Source organism: Homo sapiens, chromosome 17 (assembly GCF_000001405.40).
Source record: "Homo sapiens chromosome 17, GRCh38.p14 Primary Assembly".
NCBI lineage: Eukaryota > Metazoa > Chordata > Mammalia > Primates > Hominidae > Homo > Homo sapiens.
The window spans coordinates 19,555,357-19,574,460 of record NC_000017.11 but is presented as its reverse complement, the minus strand read 5'-3'; the positions used below and the strand labels follow the sequence as shown (position 1 = coordinate 19,574,460).

The following is a 19,104-nucleotide window of genomic DNA, read 5'->3' as shown; positions in this document are numbered from 1 at the left end:
ACGAAGGAAACCCAGAGGGGCTGCCCAGCCTCTGAGGCTGCTTCACATCAGAGAGTTCATTCAGATCAGAGAGATGAGAGGATGCAGGTCAGAGAGACCTACATCCAGATCACATGACTGAGACGCTGACCAGGGCTTTGGCGACTTGGGTACCTACCAAGAATCAGGCCCTGGCAAACCTCTCTGTACTTGTGGTTAGAACCCCAAAGGGCTGCATCCAAGACTTAAGGATGAACCAGTCCAGGTGTGGTGGCTCACGCCTGTAATCCCAGCACTTTGGGGGGCCGAGGAGGGTGGATCACTTGTGGTCAGGAGTTCGAGACCAGCCTGACCAACGTGGTGAAACTCCATATCCACTAAAAATACAAAAATTAGCCAGGTATGGTGGTGGGCGCCTATAATCCCAGCTACTTGGGAAGCTGAGGCAGGAGAATCGCTTGAACCCGGGAGGCGGAGGTTGCAGTGAGCTGAGATCGCACCATTGCACTCCAGCCTGGGCAATAGGGTGAGACTGCTTTTAAAAAAAAAAAAAAAAAAAAAGCATGAACCAGAAGAAGTAAACCAAGCCTCACACTGGCTGCAGCACACCTTCAGTTTGGCTGGGTGCTCCAGAAAGCTCCATTTCCAAGATTGCCCTAGACTGCTGGTCACCCTCAGTGTCCAACAGAAGGAAAAGAAAATCCTCTCTGAAGATAAATAGACAACATTCTTTCAGGCTCAAGTTACTTCTATGAACAATTTTCAAATATAAAGTCTGGAACATAATCAAAGATAACCAGGCCAGGTGTGGTGGCTCACGCCTGTAATCCCACTGCTTTGGGAGGCCAAGGCAGGAGGATCGCTTGAGCCCAAGATGTAAAGGGTGCAGTGAGCTACACTGCACACCATCATGGGCAACAGGGCAAGACCCTCTTTCTATTTAAAAAAAAAAAAGTTTTTCTTTAATTTTAAAAAATTAATTTAAAAATAAATTAAAATCAAAGATAACCAGACACACAGCACAGGAGCCTAGACAACATGAATGAAAATTGGCAGAAACAACACAACTGACCACTGACTAAGTATCAGCCATTCTATGAAGTCAAAGTGTTTAAATTATAAAGGAGCAAGGGTTACTGAGAGTGGGTGGCTAACTGCCTAAGGGGCCAGGAATCGGGGGGATTACTCAACTGACTGAAGAAAACCATAACCACATTTGCACAATGTGAATCAGAAGCAAAGGTCCAAGCAACGACCTGTTTAAAGCCCACAAGTGTCTGCCTGATGAACAGCAGGGACCCCATTAAAACAAACAAATGTCAGTTTCTAAGCTATGGTAGAAGCACAGTATTTCCAAGTGTTAGAAATGCCTGCAAAGTGCTTGCAGAAATTAGGGGAGGAACTGGGGACCTTTCAGTCATCTATAGCGGTTTACTAATGTGTGGAATGAACTCAGTTTACCTTGAATTGTGTGTTACTTGGCTTTATCATGTGTTTCTGAAACATTATTGCCCTATTTAAATGAGAGCTCATAGCAGCAAATCTAGCTGTGTCTCACTAACAGCCCCTCCAGTCCTACCTAGACAGGCCTGTCCAAGGGCTGAGGGAGTCATATCTTACCTGGGTGAAGCGGATCCTGAGGGAGAGCAGAATTCCCACTCCGAGGCACGTTGTTTACTTTCAAATTGGCGTGTACCTGAGCCTGGAAAATGAAACTCAGTCCATCAGGCTTCACAATAGTGTTAATATGGTATTTTACTTGACCACCTAGTTTAGGAAGAGCCAAGCCATTTTCCTTAATTGGCATGTATAGCTGAAGTTCCTCTCATTCACAGGTCATCTTTCATAAAGATTGAAATGGGGCCAGGCTCAGTGCTCACACCTGTAATCCCAGCACTTTGGGGGGCTGAGGAGAGAGGATTGCTTGAGCCCAGGAATTCAAGGCCAGCCTGCGCAACACAGCAAGATCCCATCTCAATTAAAAAATTAAAAACAAAAAAATAACAACAACAACAAAAAAAACAGCCAGGCATGGTGGCGCATGTCTGTATTCCCAACTACCTGGGAGGCTGAGACAGGAGGATCACTTGAGCCCAGGAGGTTGAGACTCCAGCGAGATGTGATCCTGCCACTATAGTCCAGCCTGGGTGACAGAGTGAGAGCCTGTCTCTTAAGAAAAAGAAAACAGAAAAGGCTGAAATGGGGTCCATGAAAGGGAAGGTGGGATGGGAACAGTACAGGGTGAGGGAGACAGGGACAAGAGAGGGACCAAGATCATTTAGAACTCTCCCTTTTTACTTTATCTCTTTCTTTTTAAAACATTTTTATTTGTAGAGACAGGGTCTCGCTCCATCACTCAGGCTGGAGTGCAGTGATCACAGATGACTGCAGCCTCGAACTCTAGGGCTCAAGCGATCCTCCTGCCTCAGCCTCCTGAATAGCTGGGACTACAGGCATAAGCCACTGTACCTCGACTCATCTCATTTTTCTACCACCTATTTCTAGACCTCACACTGACCCTAGAAAGTTGAAGGGAAGGATGCACACAAGTATCTTAACAAAACATTTGGAGACCATAAAAACAACATCAGGATGACTTTGATGCATCCCACATTTCTCTCCAGTTCTAATTCTTGTCCTGAAATTGGATTTTCCTGCACAAGGGTGACAGCCTGGCATGGGAGACAAGGAAGAAAGGAGTCCCCTGTTTTTCTGGGAATAGATAAAGCCAGGATCATCTGGCCCTTCACATCTGAACTGTCTAGTTAAAACAACAAGAACAATAGTATTCATGAGATAAGAATAAAGAAAATGAGAAAAGAACTTTCCAAAAGAAAAAAGGGAGAGCCAGATCAGATCCTGTTTTTCTAGGAGAGGAACCTTTACCGGGACAGAATGAACATAGTTACCTGCTGACAGGCTTTTTTCCAATTTAGCTGAATAATAAAGCCTAGAAAACACACAGCTTGAAAGACTGTACAGATGATGATCCCTGACCACAGACCTAGAAATAGAAATATTTAATAGAGGTTAATTCCATAGAAAACCAGCTGCCCCTGGGGAGTATGTTTTGCCTATATCACTTCTGTCAGCCATACTGAATATCTGCTTTCATGGCTGAGGTGGAGCCCACAGCGGGCCAGAGACCTCTATCCTGCTCCTCCTCAGGCTTCCAGAAGGTTCCAGAAGGTTCTGGAAAGCCCAGTACTCCTTGAGGCCACCCCCAAAAGGGCCATCTCTTTTGGTTCAGGATTTCGGAACAAATATTCAGAGGATATTTTTGGCCTTACTGATTATAATGCTTGAATATTAAGAAAAATGCCAGTTATAAGGAAATTAAAATTTCCCAGGACCAACTACTTCTGCCCTGGTTTCCTCAAAAAAGGGGACTAACATTAAAAAAAAAAAAAGCAGAAATCACTAGCCATATAAACTACTAATGTTCTCTTCCTCAGAGTTCCTGCCAGACCTTGGACCTTAACTTGCTTCTGACACAGACTTTGCTAGAAGCTTCCAGAGCAGGGCTGAGCACCTACAGATGACTGGAGAACACCAAAGGCAGGCCAGGTGGGAATGGATGGCGGGAAAAGCCCTGTGAATCTCAAGGCACCACACAGGGCACAGAGGGAGACCCCAGGTGAGGAGGGTTTTTTGGTCAACAGTAAACTAATGGCAGAACCAAAAGCTCCAACAATAACCAAGAGACAAAGTCCTGACCGTAATAAAAACAGACCTCTGCCTCACAACCTGCAGCACCCTGCCCAAGAAACCCCACCCCATCTACAATAAACCCAGGAAGCCAGCCTTCCCTAAATCAGACTTGCAGGAAGCAAGATCGCTGCCTTTGGTAACAATCCAGGAAGCTAACCAGTAACTTCTGTAACGATTGGCCCCAGATGGCCAGGACTTGATTAGCAACTGACAGCTTGCCTAATTTTGGTCTGCACTTCCAACTTAGGACCAACCAGAGAAAGTAAAATACATCCCCCTAACCAATCACATGGGAGGCCCATTTCTAGTCAGCCACCTCCAGCATCCCCCAGATCAACAATCTCCACTCAGGACACACCTGCAGCCTCCCCTTTTATCCACTGTGACGCTTTCCCACTCCTTTGCCTGCCTTTGAGTTTCTGCCCAAATGCAAGTGGTGGCAGCCAACACCCTTGCTGAGAATACACAGACTTTGCTTGTCTTGCTTGGTTGGTCCTGGTTTATTTCCACAGCTGTCCAGATCTATGTAAGGGTTAAGGTGGCTAGTCTGGGTTCCTGGTTTATGGATTCGGTACAGGTTTTACAGCTCTGTTTCTTGGTACCAATCACATTTTTCAGGTATGATCAGCCTGCCCTTTTGTTTGTTTGTTTGCTTTTTAGAGTCAGGGTCTTGCTCTGTTGCCCAGGCTGGAGAGCAGTGGCATGACCACAGCTCACTACAGCCTCCAACTCCTAGAGTCAAGTGATCCTCCTGCCTTGGCTTCCAAAGCACTAGGATTATAGGTATGAGTCACTACGCCCAGCCTAGCCTGCTCTTAGAATAGTATAGTTGGTGCCACCTGCTAGTCCTATAAAAAATTAGTAAAAGCAAGCTACTGGCTTCCTCTTTCAAATCCAGTGTTCTCAGTACATAGAAACTACAAGCTCACCTGAACCACCTTAAACAGGAAATAACCAGCTAACTCCAGCTATAATTTGAAAGTTATGAATTAGATTTCCAATAATTTTAGCATACATCATTTAAAAGATTTCTATTTGACCCAACCTATGAGCCCAAAGTGGGATGATTATTAGATCTCATGGGCAAGGCCCAGGAATTTACATATTTAAAATGTCTCCCAGGGATTCTGAGGGTCATTATGATTTCCTGAGGTTGCTTCTGAGAACCTGCAGAATTCTGATGCTCTCCTAGACACCTTGTATAGGTATACTGCATACCATACCAGGAGACACAATACTCAAAACCAATTCGTACCACAATTTCTTCTAATAGGTGGGTGGGGGGGATTGACTATAGGCTTCTCATAGAGCCCTCACATCCCCAGGGCCCCCACCATTTCTTTTCAGTGATTCTCAACTTCCTCTTCTACTTTGCACAATTAGTTACGCTTTTTTTTTTTAAGGTAGAGTCTCACTCTGTCGCCCAGGCTGGAGTGCAGTGGTGCCATCTTGCTCACTGCAGCCTCCGCCTCCCGGGTTCAAGCAATTCTTGTGCCTCAGCCTCCCAAGTAGCTGGAACTACAGGCGCACACCACCACACCTGGCTAATTTTTGTATTTTTAGTAGAGACGGGGTTTCGCCAAGTTGCCCAGGTTGGTCTCAAACTCTTAACCTCAAGTGAACCACCCACCTCAGCCTCCCAAAGTGCTGGAATTACAGGCATGAGCCACTGTGCCTGGCCTAGATATATTCTGTTAAATGAATAGGTGAGCCAAGGACGGCACTTGGGATACAGATGGATTTATATTTCAAAGCAGGTTCCTCATGCCTGTAATCCCAGATACTTGGGAGGCCAAGGTGGGAGGATCACTTGAGTCAAGGAGTTTGAGACCAGCCTGGGCAACATAGCAAGACCCCATCTGTAAAAAATGAAACAGGAGAATAAAGTAGACTCCTCTTCTAAAAAAGTTGAACTCATAGAAGTAGAGAGTAGAATGATGGTTAGCAGGGACTGGTGGCAAGGAGGGGAGGGCATGGGAATGGGGAGTTGTTAAGGTACAAATTTCTGATAGACAGGAAGAATAAGTTTTGAGATCAATTGCACACCAGGGTGACTGTAGTCAATGTACTGCACATTTTGAATTAACTAAGTAAATTTCAAATGTCTCACCATAAAAAATAAGTGGTGATAAGTATGTTAATTAGCTTAATTTAATCATTCCACATTTTATACATATATCAAAACACCACACTGTACCCCATAAATGTATACAACTATAATTTGTCAATTTAAAGTTTAAAAGATATAATATAGAGAATTTAAATTATTTCCTTAATATTTTATACTGATTGCACGTTGCAATAATTTTAGACATATTGTGTTACATAAAATACATTACTTTAAAAATAAAAATAAATTAGATTTCTATAATATTTGCATTAGCTAGGCAATTGGCAAATCCAAACTATGAATCGCACCAGAAACTCAGCTAAATAATTTTCTGCACTATCATGCAAGCCCAATGAACTTTGCATTGGCAATACTATTCTTTGAACAACTCCTGTATTTTTAATTAAAATATTATTGAACTTGAGAAAAATGTGCCACATAAAGGAACATACTGAACTGGAAGTTCCCTGTAGGTATCAGTTGACTTCTCACCACCTCTGAGCCTGCCAAGTACAGATGAATCAAAACAAGCCACGCTTTAAGTCAGTCACTACTCACCCCAAAGATAAATGTCCAGGTTTTCATATCATCATTTATTAACTGCCAATATGTTCCAAATTATTATTTTAGAAATCAAAGCTGGGCAGTCATTTATTTCCGTACTTTTTAAAAAGATTAGCTCTGGTAATTTCAGATGCTGTGGATTAAGTTTTTTCTTCCAAATGTGGGAAGGTGCTCAAGTCCGCCCCCTTCCTTCTGTGCTGTTCACACCGACCACGTGTATGGCCTTGTGGGGAGCTCTGTGGGGGCACAGAGCTAAGGCTGCACAAGGAGGGAGGTGGAGGCTGCGGAGTGCGATGAGGGTGATGAGAAGGGCACTGGCCACCCATTGCCCTCCAAGGATCCAGCCATGCTGCTTGGTGAGCACATGGGGCACTGCTCTAGGATGCAGAGTGCCACCGTGAGTGCAGACCCTGCAGCACCCCACGCACGCAGGACCGCCTACGATAGCCCTGGCCCTGCAGAGTCACCCTCAGGGGCTCACATGCTGTCTCTAAAGAACAGCACGAAACACACTAAGGGGATGCTTCCAAATGCTTCTTCAGCGGTCCCTGCTGTTGCCTCCTTTAGAGAAGTGAGGGCTGGATGACTCAGGATAGGAGGTTGGTAGAAAGGGCATCTGTGCTCAAGTGTGTCAGCGTGGAAGATCGCCCGCAGGGGTGTGAGGGGCAGGACCACATAGCCTTGGGGCCCTGGCTAGAGCTGGAGGTCACCTCCTGAACGCCCCCTACACTCTCTGACAAGACACAGAATGGACGTGGGCGAGCTCCCGAGTTTCAGAGGTGAGCCTCAGTCAAAGACCCGTGTGCTCCGACGGTCATTTCCTGGGCTGGTGAGCAGCTAAGCCCTGCCTGCAGAGGTTAGAGCTTACCCATCACTCCAAGTGTGGTTGCAAACATCAGCGCGATCCCGATGGGGAGGCCAACCACATAGTACCCAATGGTATTCACAATGGCTCCAACCTTCTGATTTCCACTCCCCCTCAGAACACCACCACTCGTGCACTGCAGGCAGAGAGCATTCCATCACTGTGAACACATCCGGCGCTCTTGAAACACTCCCATCTCCCGAGCACTTCATATTCTGTGCTAAAATCCATGGTAAGGTGACAGTATCCTTCTAAACGAAATGTGGTAACAATATTCAATCTTCCTACCTATGCTGGCCCCTCCTCTCAGCTGAAATTTACCACCATCAGAAGATCATAACAGTGCTTAGGGGACTACTACATAATACTTACAGCAAGAGCTTCAAAGAGGTGGGAAACAGCATAAATTGGAACCACCTGAGCCACCAGATTAATGATGTCTCTGTTAGGAAAATAAAGCACGTGGTGATTAGGAGACAAAGTGGAGAAAGAAGTATATAGCTTTCTGGCTAGGCGCAGTGGCTCATGCCTGTAATCTCAGCACTTTGGGAGGCTGAGGCGGGAGGATCACCTGAGGTCAGGAGTTTGAGACCAGCCTGGCCAACATGGTGAAACCCCGTATCTACTAAAAATATAAAATTAGCCAGGCCTGGTGGTGGGTACCTGTAATCCCAGCTACTCAGGAGGCTGAGGCAGGAGAATCGCTTGAACCCGGGAGGCAGAGGTTGCAGTGAGCTGAGATCTCATCACTGCACTTCAGCCTGAATGACAGAGCGAGACTGTCTTAAAAAAAAAAGTATATAGCTTTCTGCATATTACAGACATGCACATGCATTGAGGCCAGCAGCCTAGTCAGGGACAGTTCACCTGTTGCTGGGTCCATAGAGGAAACTAACTGCATGTTGTATCTCACAGCTTTTAGAAAAAATAGGCAGCACCACACCCTTGTCTTCAAGAGATATGTTTCAAGTCCCCCAGTGGATGCCTGAAATCGCAGAGAGGACTGAACCCTAAATACATTGTGTTTTCCTTATACACAAATACATTATGATAATGTTAATTCATAATTTGGGCACAGTAAGAGAGTAACAACAGTAGTAATAAAGTAGGCCATAACCACATGCCAGCATCACTACTTTTGTGCTTTGGGATTACTAGCACTGTGATACCAAAACAGTCAATCTGAAATAACTAGCGGGTGGAAAGCACACACAGCGTGGAGATGTTGGACAAAGGGATGATTTCATGTCCCAGGCGGGACGTGAGATTTCCTCCTAATACTCATAACCGCACGCAATTGAAAACTTATGAATTGTTTATTTCTGGAATTTTCCACTTAAGATTTTCAGACCACCAGGCACGGTGGCTCACGCCTGTAATTCCAGCACTTTGGGAGGCCGAGGCGGGCGGATCACAAGGTCAGGAGATCGAGACCATCCTGGCTAACATGGTGAAACCCCGTCTCTACTAAAAATACAAAAAAATTAGCCGGGCGTGGTGGCGGGCGCCTGTAGTCCCAGCTGCTGGGGAGGCTGAGACAGGAGAATGGCGTGAACCTGGGAGGCAGAGCTCGCAGTGAGCTGAGATCATGCCACTGCACTCCAGCCTGGGCGACAGAGCGAGAGTCCATCTCAAAAAAAAAAAAAAAAAAAAAGATTTTCAGACCAAAATTGACTGCAGGTGACTAAACCTTGGAAAGCAAAACCAAGGATAAAGAGGGGTTACCGCATAGTCCATCTGGTCAGTGTAGACAAATCAAGGGATTTGGTGACATCCCTCCCCCGTTCCCCATCAGCTGAAAAGAAGTTTGGCTGGGCACAGTGGCACGCACCTATCATCCCGGCAAGTTTGGATGCTATGATCATCCTTCTTTTAAGATGATGCCACAGGCCAAGTCTGACTGTGTCTCCTAGTAAGCCTCAGTGAAGCACTACAGAGTAAAAATTAAGTTCCCTCTATGGAACGAAGGTTGGTAAAGGCCATAGATATATTCTGCAGAATTATCCTTGGTTCCTAGAAATGGAACCCCTAAAGCTAGAGACTTGGATTCTAACCTCTGCATGTGAAGGGAGATGAGAAAAATGCTGCCCTGACCTGGGGAAGCAGGAAATTCACAACACCCTTGGAGTGAGTTTTGTCACTCTAAACTAGAACCTAGAAGACTGTCTCCCAATAAATACTTGTTTAATTACTAAATAAGAAATCCAGCACTGGCCCAGGAGTGGTGGCTCATGCCTGTAATCCCTGCACTTTGGGAGGCCAAGGCAGGCAGATCACCTGAGGTGGTGAGTTCGAGACCAGCCTGACCAACATGGAGAACTCCCATCTCTTCTAAAAATACAAAATTAGCAGGTGTGGTGGTGCATGCCTGTAATCCCAGCTACTCGGGAGGCTGAGGCAGGAGAATCACTTGAAACCAGGAGGCGGAGATTGCGATGAGCCGAGATCGTGCCATTGCACTCCAGCCTGGGCAACAAGAGCGAAACTCCATCTCAAAAAAAAGAAAAGAAAAGAAATCCAGCACTGAACAAGATGATCACTTCCTCCTCACCAAAAAGGACAGAAATATAATTATTTTATTCAAATTTTATTTTTTGAATAGGTAACATGCACATGGTCAAAAAATGGAACAATATGAACAAGATAGTAAGCAAAGTCTTACTGCAATGCCCTTCCAGTTTGCCCCAGTACCAGCCCTGCCTCCTCCAGGTAACAATTCCTAGCACGTTCCATGTTTGTCTAGTGTCTATGAAAATATAAGCAAATACAAATGTATATTCTTAATTTTCCTTTCTATATTCTATCATTTCACATGCAGCATTCTCTATATGATGTTCTGCACCTTGCTTTTTCCACCTGAGATATTATATTCACTTTTTTTTTTAGACAGGGTCTCACTGTCACCCAGGCTGGAGTGGAGTGATGCAATCATGGCTCACTGCAGCCTCAACCTCTCAGGCTCAAGTGATCCTCCCACCTCAGCTTCTTGAGTAGCTAGGACTACAGGTGCACACCACCATGCCCAGCTAAATTTTATTTTTTGTAGAGATGGGGTTTCGCCATGTTTCCCAGGCTGGTCTTGAACTCCTGGGCTCAAGTGATCCTTTTGCCTCAGTCTCCCAAAGTGTTGGGATTACAGGCATGAGCCACCGCGCCTGGCCTATATTCACTTTTATATTTCACCCAAATATATTCTTTTCAATGTGCTGCTAAATTCTGTCTAATAACATTTTTTTTTTGTCTGAGACGGAGTCTCGCTCTGTCGCCCAGGCTGGGGTGCAGTGGCTCAATCTCGGCTCACTGCAAGCTCCGCCTCCCGGGTTCACGCCATTCTCCTGCCTCAGCCTCCCGAGTAGCTGGGACTACAGGTGCGTGCCACCACGCCCGGCTAATTTTTTGTATTTTTTAGTAGAGACAGGGTTTCACCATGTTAGCCAGGATGGTCTCGATCTCCTGACCTCGTGATCTACCCACCTCGGCCTCCCAAAGTGCTGGGATTACAGGCGTGAGCCACCGCGCCCAGCCTATGTCTAATAACATTTTATTTTGGATTTTTAAATTCATATTAATACATAAGAGTGATCTGTGATTTTCTTTCTTTTTTATGTGCAAACTTTGTCAGATTTTGGCACCAATGTTATATTTGCTTCATAAACAGAATGCAAAGTTTTCCTTTTCCTGTGCTCTGAAATTTTCTGTTTTATCTATGTTTGCAATTCCCCATGTTTTGAAGATTTTATAAAATTATCCTTTGGAACCTTCTGGGATTGTGCTTTTTGACATTTTAAAATAGCTTTCTCGGCCGGGCGTGGTGGCTTATGGCTGTAATCCCAGCACTTTGGGAGGCCGAGGCGGGCGGATCACAAGGTCAGGAGATCGAGACCATCCTGGCTAACACGGTGAAACCCCATCTCTACCAAAAATACAAAAAATTAGCCGAGCGTGGTGGCGGGCGCCTGTAGTCCCAGCTACTTGGGAGGCTGAGGCAGGAGAATGGCGTGAACCCGGGAGGCAGAGCTTGCAGTGAGCTGAGATCATGCCACTGCACTCCAGCCTGGGCGACAGAGGGAGGCTCCGTCAAAAAAAAAAAAAAAAAAAAAAAAGCTTTCTCTTATTTCTTACAGGAAATCAGTTATTTAGACCTTCTATCTTTTCTAGGGTACATACTGATCAATTATTTCCCTAGAAAATTATCTGTTTATTCCACATTTTTAGATTTCCTTGGAAAAAGTTGTGCAAAGTAGTCTCTTAGGATTTTTAAAAATGATTGTGTTTAGTAGTAACGTCCCCCTTTATTTGTTAGAGGTGCCGTTTCCCGCCCCCTGTGATTAAGTTAGGTAGAGGTTCATCTCTTTCACCGATTCTACCAGGTTGGGTTGATCCTGGCCACCTTACAAGTAATTTGATTGTTGAGTTTCTGATGTTTCCTCATCTCGTCAGTTCTATAGTTTGTGGGCCTCTTGTTTTTCATTCTTTTCCTGGGCTGTATGGTTTCCCAAGTGGACAGATTCAGAGTCCAGCTTCTACTATATTCCTTCTGAAACCATCCATTTATCCTGGTCCTCATAAAGTTCATCCTGATTCCCTTTGTGAGAAAAGCCAACTATTTGCCATCGCCTTCCCCACTCATTCTGAGTGAGGGAGTTATAAACTTTTTTTTTTTTTTTGAGACAGAGTCTCACTCTGTTGCCCAGGCTGGAGTGCAGTGGCACAATCTCAGCTCACTGCACCCTCCGTCTCCCAGGTTCAAGTGATTCTCCTGCCTCAGCCTCCTGAGTAGCTGGGATTGCAGGCGTGCCTCACCACGCCTAGCTAATTTTTTTTGTATTTTTAGTAGAGACAGGGTTTCCCCATGTCGACCAGCTGGTCTTGAACTCCTAAACTCAGGCAATCCATCTGCCTCAGCCTCCCAAAGTGTTGGGATTACAGGAGTGAGCCACCGTGCCTGGCCTAAACATCTTATTTCCCCATAACAAAATAGCTGAAGCTGAAAAATGAAAACCTACGATCTGAAGTCAAAAGTCAAATGTGTGAAGAATAAACCATGAAATTAGTTCTGTCCGCTCCACCAGCTTTCTGAATCCAGGAAGGCAAAGTCCATTTGCATTTTGTAACTGCTGACAAAGGTGTCCAAATAAGAAGTACCCCCACGAAGTTTCTATATAGTCCGAATGTACACACTAGCATCGCTGATGAAGGAAACAAATTCTGCAGAGCAGAGGGGACTTATCCAAGAATTCTTCAGTAATCAATCTGAGAATATGACTTTTGAGACAGCTCACTGGTGAGATTTTAACTTCAATTCAGTTTGACAAACATATTATGCAACTACTACAAACCGGGCACTTTGGCCGATACTAAGAAACCAAGAGGATTCTTATCACTGGAAACAAAATAATTAACTGAAAATGTAATTAATCGTACTAAAAAGGGGTTTCCACCTTTAAAATACATGACCAGCAGAAGCATAAAATCATTACCAATGCCCATTAAGTTGGCACTGTAGATTATACATCAGTTCCTACATCTAATATGTTCTTCCCAAGTAACATCAGTGGAGCCTCTGATCTTTTTTTTTTTTTTTTTTTTGAGACAGAGTCTTGCCCTGTCGCCCAGGCTGGAGTGCAGTGGCGGGATCTCAGCTCACTGCAAGCTCCACCTCCCGGGTTCACGCCATTCTCCTACCTCAGCCTCCCAAGTAGCTGGGACTACAGGCGCCCGCCACCACGCCCAGCTAATTTTTTCTATTTTTAGTAGAGACGGGGTTTCACCGTGTTAGCCAGGATGGTCTTGATCTCCTGACCTTGTGATCCACCCGCCTCAACCTCCCAAAGTGCTGGGATTACAGGTGTGAGCCACCGCGCCCGGCCGAGCCTCTGATCTTGCAAATGAGTCAGACATCCCTGCTGCAACAACCATAGGTGGCCTCTATGATAGCATCTATCCAATTTAACCATTTCTTTTTTAAATTTTGAGATGGAGTCTCATTCTTGTCACCCAGGCTGGAGTGCAGTGGCACGATCTTGGCTCACTGGCACCTCTGCCTCCTGGGTTCAAGTGATTCTCCCACCTCAGCCTCCTGAGTAGCTGGGATTACAGGCGTGTGCCACCATGACCAGCTAATTTTTGTATTTTTAGTGGAGATGGGGGTTTCACCATGTTGGCCAGGCTGGTCTCGAACTCCTGACCTCAGGTGATCTGCCAGCCTTGACATACCAAAGTGCTAGGATTACCAGCGTGAGCCACTGTGCCCGGCCTCTTTTTAAAAAAAATTCCTAGTTTTAAAAAACTTTTTCTGCTGGCATCTTGCTCTTGGAGGAACCATTTCTTTCTTTCTTTTTTTTTTTTTTTTTAAGACGGAGTCTTGCTCTGTTGCCCAGGCTGGAGTGCAGTGGCACAATCTCGGCTCACTGCAACCTCTGCCTCCTGGGCTCAAGAGATTCTCCAGCTTCAGCCTCCCAAGTAGCTGGGATTACAGGTGTCTGCCACCACACCCAGCTAATTTTTGTATTTTTAGTAGAGATAGGGTTTCACCATGTTGGTCAGGCTGGCCTTGAACTCCTGACCTCAGGTGATCCCAAAGTGCTGGGATTACAGGTGTGAGTGAGATGTTTTCTTTTTACTGATATGATTTCAAACAGCAATGTTTCTGAACAGCCTGATTTTAGAGAACAAATTTTCTCAATGAACCATTTCTTTATCACAGATTTCACATTTCAAGAAAATCCTAGCACTCACCGGTCGGTAGTAAAAATGTACCCCACGTGATCCTTACAGCTTAACAGCAGGACACTGAAGGCTACAGCAAAGAGCACTGAAGGTAAAAACGGCAGAAGAAACAACACAGTGAACAAGAAGATCCACAGGAAGTGGAGGAGCCTGGGTTTTGCATGCAGAGACTGCACCAAGAGCCTCGGGTAAAGGGGTCTCAGCACCTGTAATCAGCAGGGAAACGGTAGAGGACTTCCGTGCCTGCTCCATGTCTCCAGCACCCAGAGCGTTTCCTACCCGGACACTGGCAGCCACACTGAAGCCTGCAGGGACCTAAAATAAAAAGGAAACCTGCAACAATGAGTGAGAAACTGCAGAGCGAGAACACGTGCAGAGAAGCAGCCTCATGCCTCACACCTGGTGGGAAAACTTGGTCCTAAAAGTTTTGAAAAGACTGATTTGCAACATCCCCTTTGTCTAGCCGGGAACTCCCACGCTACTGTGGAAACTGAGCCCCAGGTTACGATGCTTAGCACAAACTGGGCTTTGCTGCAGAGCTTCCAACCTCTGCGACATGAGGGTGCTGCACAACCATGTTCCTCCTCTGGGTGTCGGGGGATGGACTGACTCACCAGGAGCCCAGGTTTTGTCTGTTTTTTTTTTGTTTTTGTTTTTAAATAGGGACAGAGGTCAGGCGTGGTGGCTCATGCCTGTAATCCCAGCACTTTGGGAGGCCGAGGCAGGTGGATCACTTGCGGTCAGGAGTTTGAGACCAGCCTGGCCAACATGGTGAAACCCCATCTCTATTAAAAAATACAAAACTTAGCTGGGCGTGGTGGTGCACGCCTGTAATCCCAGCTACTCAGCAGGCTGAGGCAGGAGAATCGCTTGAACCTGGGAGGCGGAGGTTGCAGTGAGCTGCGATAGTGCCACTACATTCCAGCCTGTGCGACAGAGTGAAACTCCTTCTCAAAATAAATAAATAAAATAAAATAAATAGGGACAGGGTCTCACTCTGTCCCTCAGGCTGGAGTGCAGTGGCACAATCATAGTTCACTACAGCCTCGACCTCCTGGGCTCAAACGATCCTGCAACCTCAGCCTCTCAAGTAGCTGGGATCACAGGCATGCGCCTCCACACATGGCATAGTGTCTGTTCTGAAAGACCATCAAGGGATCCAGCTTAGAAGACAGGAGTGGCACTAAAGGAACTGCAGGGAAACAACCCTGTATTGTGGTTAGGGATCAGGATTCTGAAGCCAGATTGCTTGGGCTCAAATCCCAGCACAGCCACTTTATCAGCTGCATCACCCTGAGCAAGTTACTTACCCTCTCAAAACCTCCAGAGTTTTATCTGTAAAAGGAGTTGAATCATAGAACCTATCTCATTGGGCTATTGTGGGAACTTAATGAGTCCATACATGCTAACTGCTTAGAAGAAGCATGTAGGAATTGCTCAATAAAGATTTACCATTACTATTATTTATAAAGTTACCACTTGAAAAATTAATATTAATAAGGAAAAAGGAGTCATCACTTGTTGAAACATGAACATTGCCTTAGGATCAGGATGACTATGGACCAGCTTAAAGAAAATCTGATACACAGATTGAGAAATAAAAAAGTAATAGAAGACTGAGTCTCTGCCTATAAATTCACAAGTAGGGACAAACAGAGATCGCCTGACAAATTATTTATTCATTACAAAGGGAAAGGTAGTAACTTGACAGGAGAAACCTGGCAGGTACCACCTTAACCAAGCAATCAAAGTTAATACTGGCAGGGTGCAATGGCTGTGCCTGTAATCCCAGCACTTTGGAAGGCCAAGGTGGAATGATTGCTTGAGCCCAGGAGTTTGAGACCAGCCTGGGCAACATAACAAGACCAAATTTTTTTTAAAAATTAGCTGGGAGTGGTGGTGCATGCCTGTAGTCCCAGCTACTCAGGAGGCTGAGGTGGGAGGATTGCTTGAGTCCAGGAGGTCAAGACTGTAGTAAGCCAAGATCAGGCCGCTGTCACCAGAACAAGACACTGTCTTAAAAAAAAAAAAATAAGTAAAATAAAAACAACCACCAACAAGTAAAAAGTAGTATCACCAACACTGAGACAGATCAACATCATGTGCCTCCTGATATGGTGCACTAAGAAGGACACAGCATCACTTCTCTAGCTTTCCTGCCCAAAACGGACAATCTAAATTTATTTATAAGGAAACATCAGCTGCACCACACTGAGTGAACTTCTACAGATAACGGCCTATGTTCTTCAAAAATGCCAAGGTCAAGAAAGACGAAGGAACAATGAAGATCTGTTCCAGATTAAAGGACACTAAAGAGATATGACGCTAGGGGAAAATTAGTGATAAGGGACATTACCAGAACAATTGGTATTGTTTTGAATTGACTGTATTGATATAGTATTTGAACATGGACTGTGTAGATAGACCAGACAGAATAAATGTGACAAAACTGGTGAACCTGAGGAAAGGGCATACATCTTTCTTTTGATTAAGAAATACAAGTGTAAATTCTTACAAGCCTATTGGAAAGCATATGGAAATATATTCAAAAGACATAAAATCGTACCTTTGTTTCACTTTTATGAATCTTTTTTTTTTTTTTTTTGGAGGGAAAGTATAACTTTTATTTACAAATAATTATTGAGCATGCTAGATGCTACTAGAACAAAAGTTACAGTTTCCACTGTTAAGGAGAAACAATGGAGAAACCAGCGTGAGCTCCAGTGCTTTCTTCGATTTGGTGCACTGAAGAATCCCATTTTGGGAGCAGAAAAACCCTGTGTGTTGTGTTAGCTGTTCCTTATCACCAACGAGAGTAAGTATTGTTACCCTCACTACATCTACGGGTAACTGAGGCACAAACGTTGTGAGGCAGTTAATGTTCCCAGGGTCACCCATGGGCCAGCTGGGAGGGCAGCATCGCCCCGTGAACATACCCTGGGCCCACTTTTATGAATCTTAAAGAAATAATCAGACAAGTATATGAAGATATTTTTTCCTAGGATGTTCCTTGAAGAGTTGTTAATATTGAAACATTGGAAATAAACTATTCAACCATAGGAAATTGATTTTAAAAGTATATCACATATAGTGGAATCCTATATACCATTAAGCATTTTGACTTAGATATAGTTAATGAATTTACTCAAATATAAAATGTAAATAAAATATTAAAAGTGAAGTAAAAAATCCATGTTAAAAAACTCTGCCAAGGATAGAAAAACAAAAACAAAAAACATAGGTCTGCAAGAGAATAATTCTTAAACAAAACAGAAAATGTGTACTCTATGTTTTAAAACATAACCAATATCAGAGGGAAAAAATCTAAGTGTTAATACTGCAAAAAATGCCAAGCATATCTGCTGGCTTGAGTTTCTCCCCACATTATAAACTCCCTTTGTTTTTAATTTTACATTTCTAAAATGGTACTTGCTTCCTTCAGAATCTCCAGTTGATGTTTTCAGGAAAATAAAGCCAAAGAAAAGCCTCCTAATGACTAGTGTTCTCTATGATCAAAATTTCCTCCCTTTTAAGGCTGAATAATACTCCACTGTATGCATAGAACCCATTTCATTTACCCGCAGACACATAGGTTGCTTCCACCTTTTGTCTACTGTCAATAATGCTCCTGTGAACACAGTTAACAAGTCAGGCGCGGTGGCTCACGCCTGTAATCCCAACACTTTGAGAGGCCAAGGCGGGTAGATCGCCTGAGGTCAGGAGTTCAAGACCAGCTGACCAACATGGTGAAACCCTGTCTCTACTGAAAATACAAAATTAGCTGGGCGTGGTGGCAGGCACCTGTAATCTCAGCTACTTGGGAGGCTGAGGCAGAAGAAATGCTTGAACCCGGGAGGCGGAGGTTGCAGTGAGCCGAGATCACACCATTGCACTCCAGCCAGGGCAACAAGAGTGGGACTCCATCTCAAAAAAAAAAAAAAAATCCCTTTAAGACCCTGCTTTCAGTTGTTTTGGGGATCTACCTTGCAGTAGCCACACTGTGTTTTCAGAGGCTTCAGAACCAGGCAGGAGCGGGCATAGTGACACAGGCAGCTTGATGTTTATGGTCATACACCCAGCCTCATCCCTCTGCTATGCCACCCACCTGGCCCCTCAAGGCATTTGTGTTGTGACAACTGAAAAAGATTCTAAAAGTATGGAAACAAAATCAAATCTTTCAAGGGAAGATTCAGCTGGGAGCTGCGTTAGGAGATGGAGAACCAGCAGATCATGTGCAGTTTCTCTCCAGCCCCCCTTCAGTTCCTAGGGAAGATCCAGCTGTAGCAGAGGTACCCTCCCAGGCTCAAGGATGGGATTTGACTTTTGTCCATCATTTCACAAATGATTCATGTACGAATGCCTGTGCTCATCCATAGACTCTTTCAGATACCAAGCAAGGAAAACGCCTGGCACCTCCCCATGATCGGCTCCCCTGCTTACCATGTACACAATGATGGCCAGTTCATACACGATGGACTGAGCGCCCAGCTCCACCATGCCGAGGATGCCTGGTGAAGAAAGACAGCTGTCGCCTTGCACCCAGACAGGGCCCCCAGGTTCCCACCAGTCCCCGTCATCCATCCTCATACAGACCACTGAGGAAGCTCCCGACCTCATAGGCCCACCACTCCATGCACAGCATGAGCATGCTGGGGATGGCCAGGCGGAGGAAGGAGGCCCAGTCCTGCAGGCACTCGAGGGACCAGCCTGTGGGGGGGACACACACATTTCCAGGAGATCTGGCCATCGGGCTGGAACTCAACCTGAGACAAAACCCACATCCCAGTTGGAAGACAAAAGGGCAGTCATTACCTCCCCATGTAGCTTGATGCAGTTTTTTCCCGAGGATGTAGAGAAAGAGGAGTAGAGCCAGGGTGTACTGGGAAATCAAGTTTGCCAGTGCAGAGCCTCTGGAAAGAACAGTCCCAATGAGAGGGAGGTACCTTCCTGCGCCTCTCCCTGCCCAACTCAGTGAGGAGGGGAGACTCATCCCTTCCCGTGCTGTCCTCAGCAGGCCAAGGTCTTCTTCCCAGAGCAGCCTCACCCTCCATCCCTGACAGTGCTTTCCACAGTGTGCAAGAAAGAGACCACGCATGGACACAAGAACCAGCTGAAGAGCCCACTCTTCTCCCTCCTGGAAAAACCA

The 19,104-nt window shown here is 45.2% G+C and overlaps 1 protein-coding gene, 1 long non-coding RNA gene and 1 other non-coding gene across 4 annotated transcripts in view; 1 reads left to right on the top strand and 2 right to left on the bottom strand.

The window, feature by feature from the left end:
- Positions 1 to 19,104, bottom strand: part of SLC47A1 (solute carrier family 47 member 1) — a 45,181-nt gene that overhangs the window by 4,574 nt on the left and 21,503 nt on the right. The window contains exons 8-16 of the mRNA NM_018242.3: positions 18,771 to 18,868; positions 18,552 to 18,665; positions 18,399 to 18,466; positions 14,165 to 14,273; positions 13,968 to 14,043; positions 7,602 to 7,671; positions 7,233 to 7,365; positions 2,889 to 2,983; positions 1,600 to 1,681 (exon numbers count right to left, since the gene is read on the bottom strand). Of these exons, the coding sequence (NP_060712.2) occupies positions 1,600 to 1,681; positions 2,889 to 2,983; positions 7,233 to 7,365; positions 7,602 to 7,671; positions 13,968 to 14,043; positions 14,165 to 14,273; positions 18,399 to 18,466; positions 18,552 to 18,665; positions 18,771 to 18,868 (845 nt within the window). The remainder of the gene's footprint in view (positions 1 to 1,599; positions 1,682 to 2,888; positions 2,984 to 7,232; positions 7,366 to 7,601; positions 7,672 to 13,967; positions 14,044 to 14,164; positions 14,274 to 18,398; positions 18,467 to 18,551; positions 18,666 to 18,770; positions 18,869 to 19,104) is intronic.
- LOC105371578 (uncharacterized) lies at positions 2,983 to 14,166 on the top strand. 2 transcript variants are annotated; one of them, XR_934310.4, is made up of 3 exons: positions 2,983 to 3,616; positions 9,832 to 9,938; positions 13,936 to 14,166. It is a non-coding gene; the product is annotated as an uncharacterized LOC105371578 (long non-coding RNA). The 2 variants fall into 2 exon arrangements; XR_001752814.3 differs by lacking the exon at positions 13,936 to 14,166 and adding an exon at positions 12,211 to 12,477.
- Positions 16,750 to 16,901, bottom strand: SNORA59B (small nucleolar RNA, H/ACA box 59B). Its single transcript, NR_003022.1, has one exon. It is a non-coding gene; the product is annotated as a small nucleolar RNA, H/ACA box 59B (small nucleolar RNA).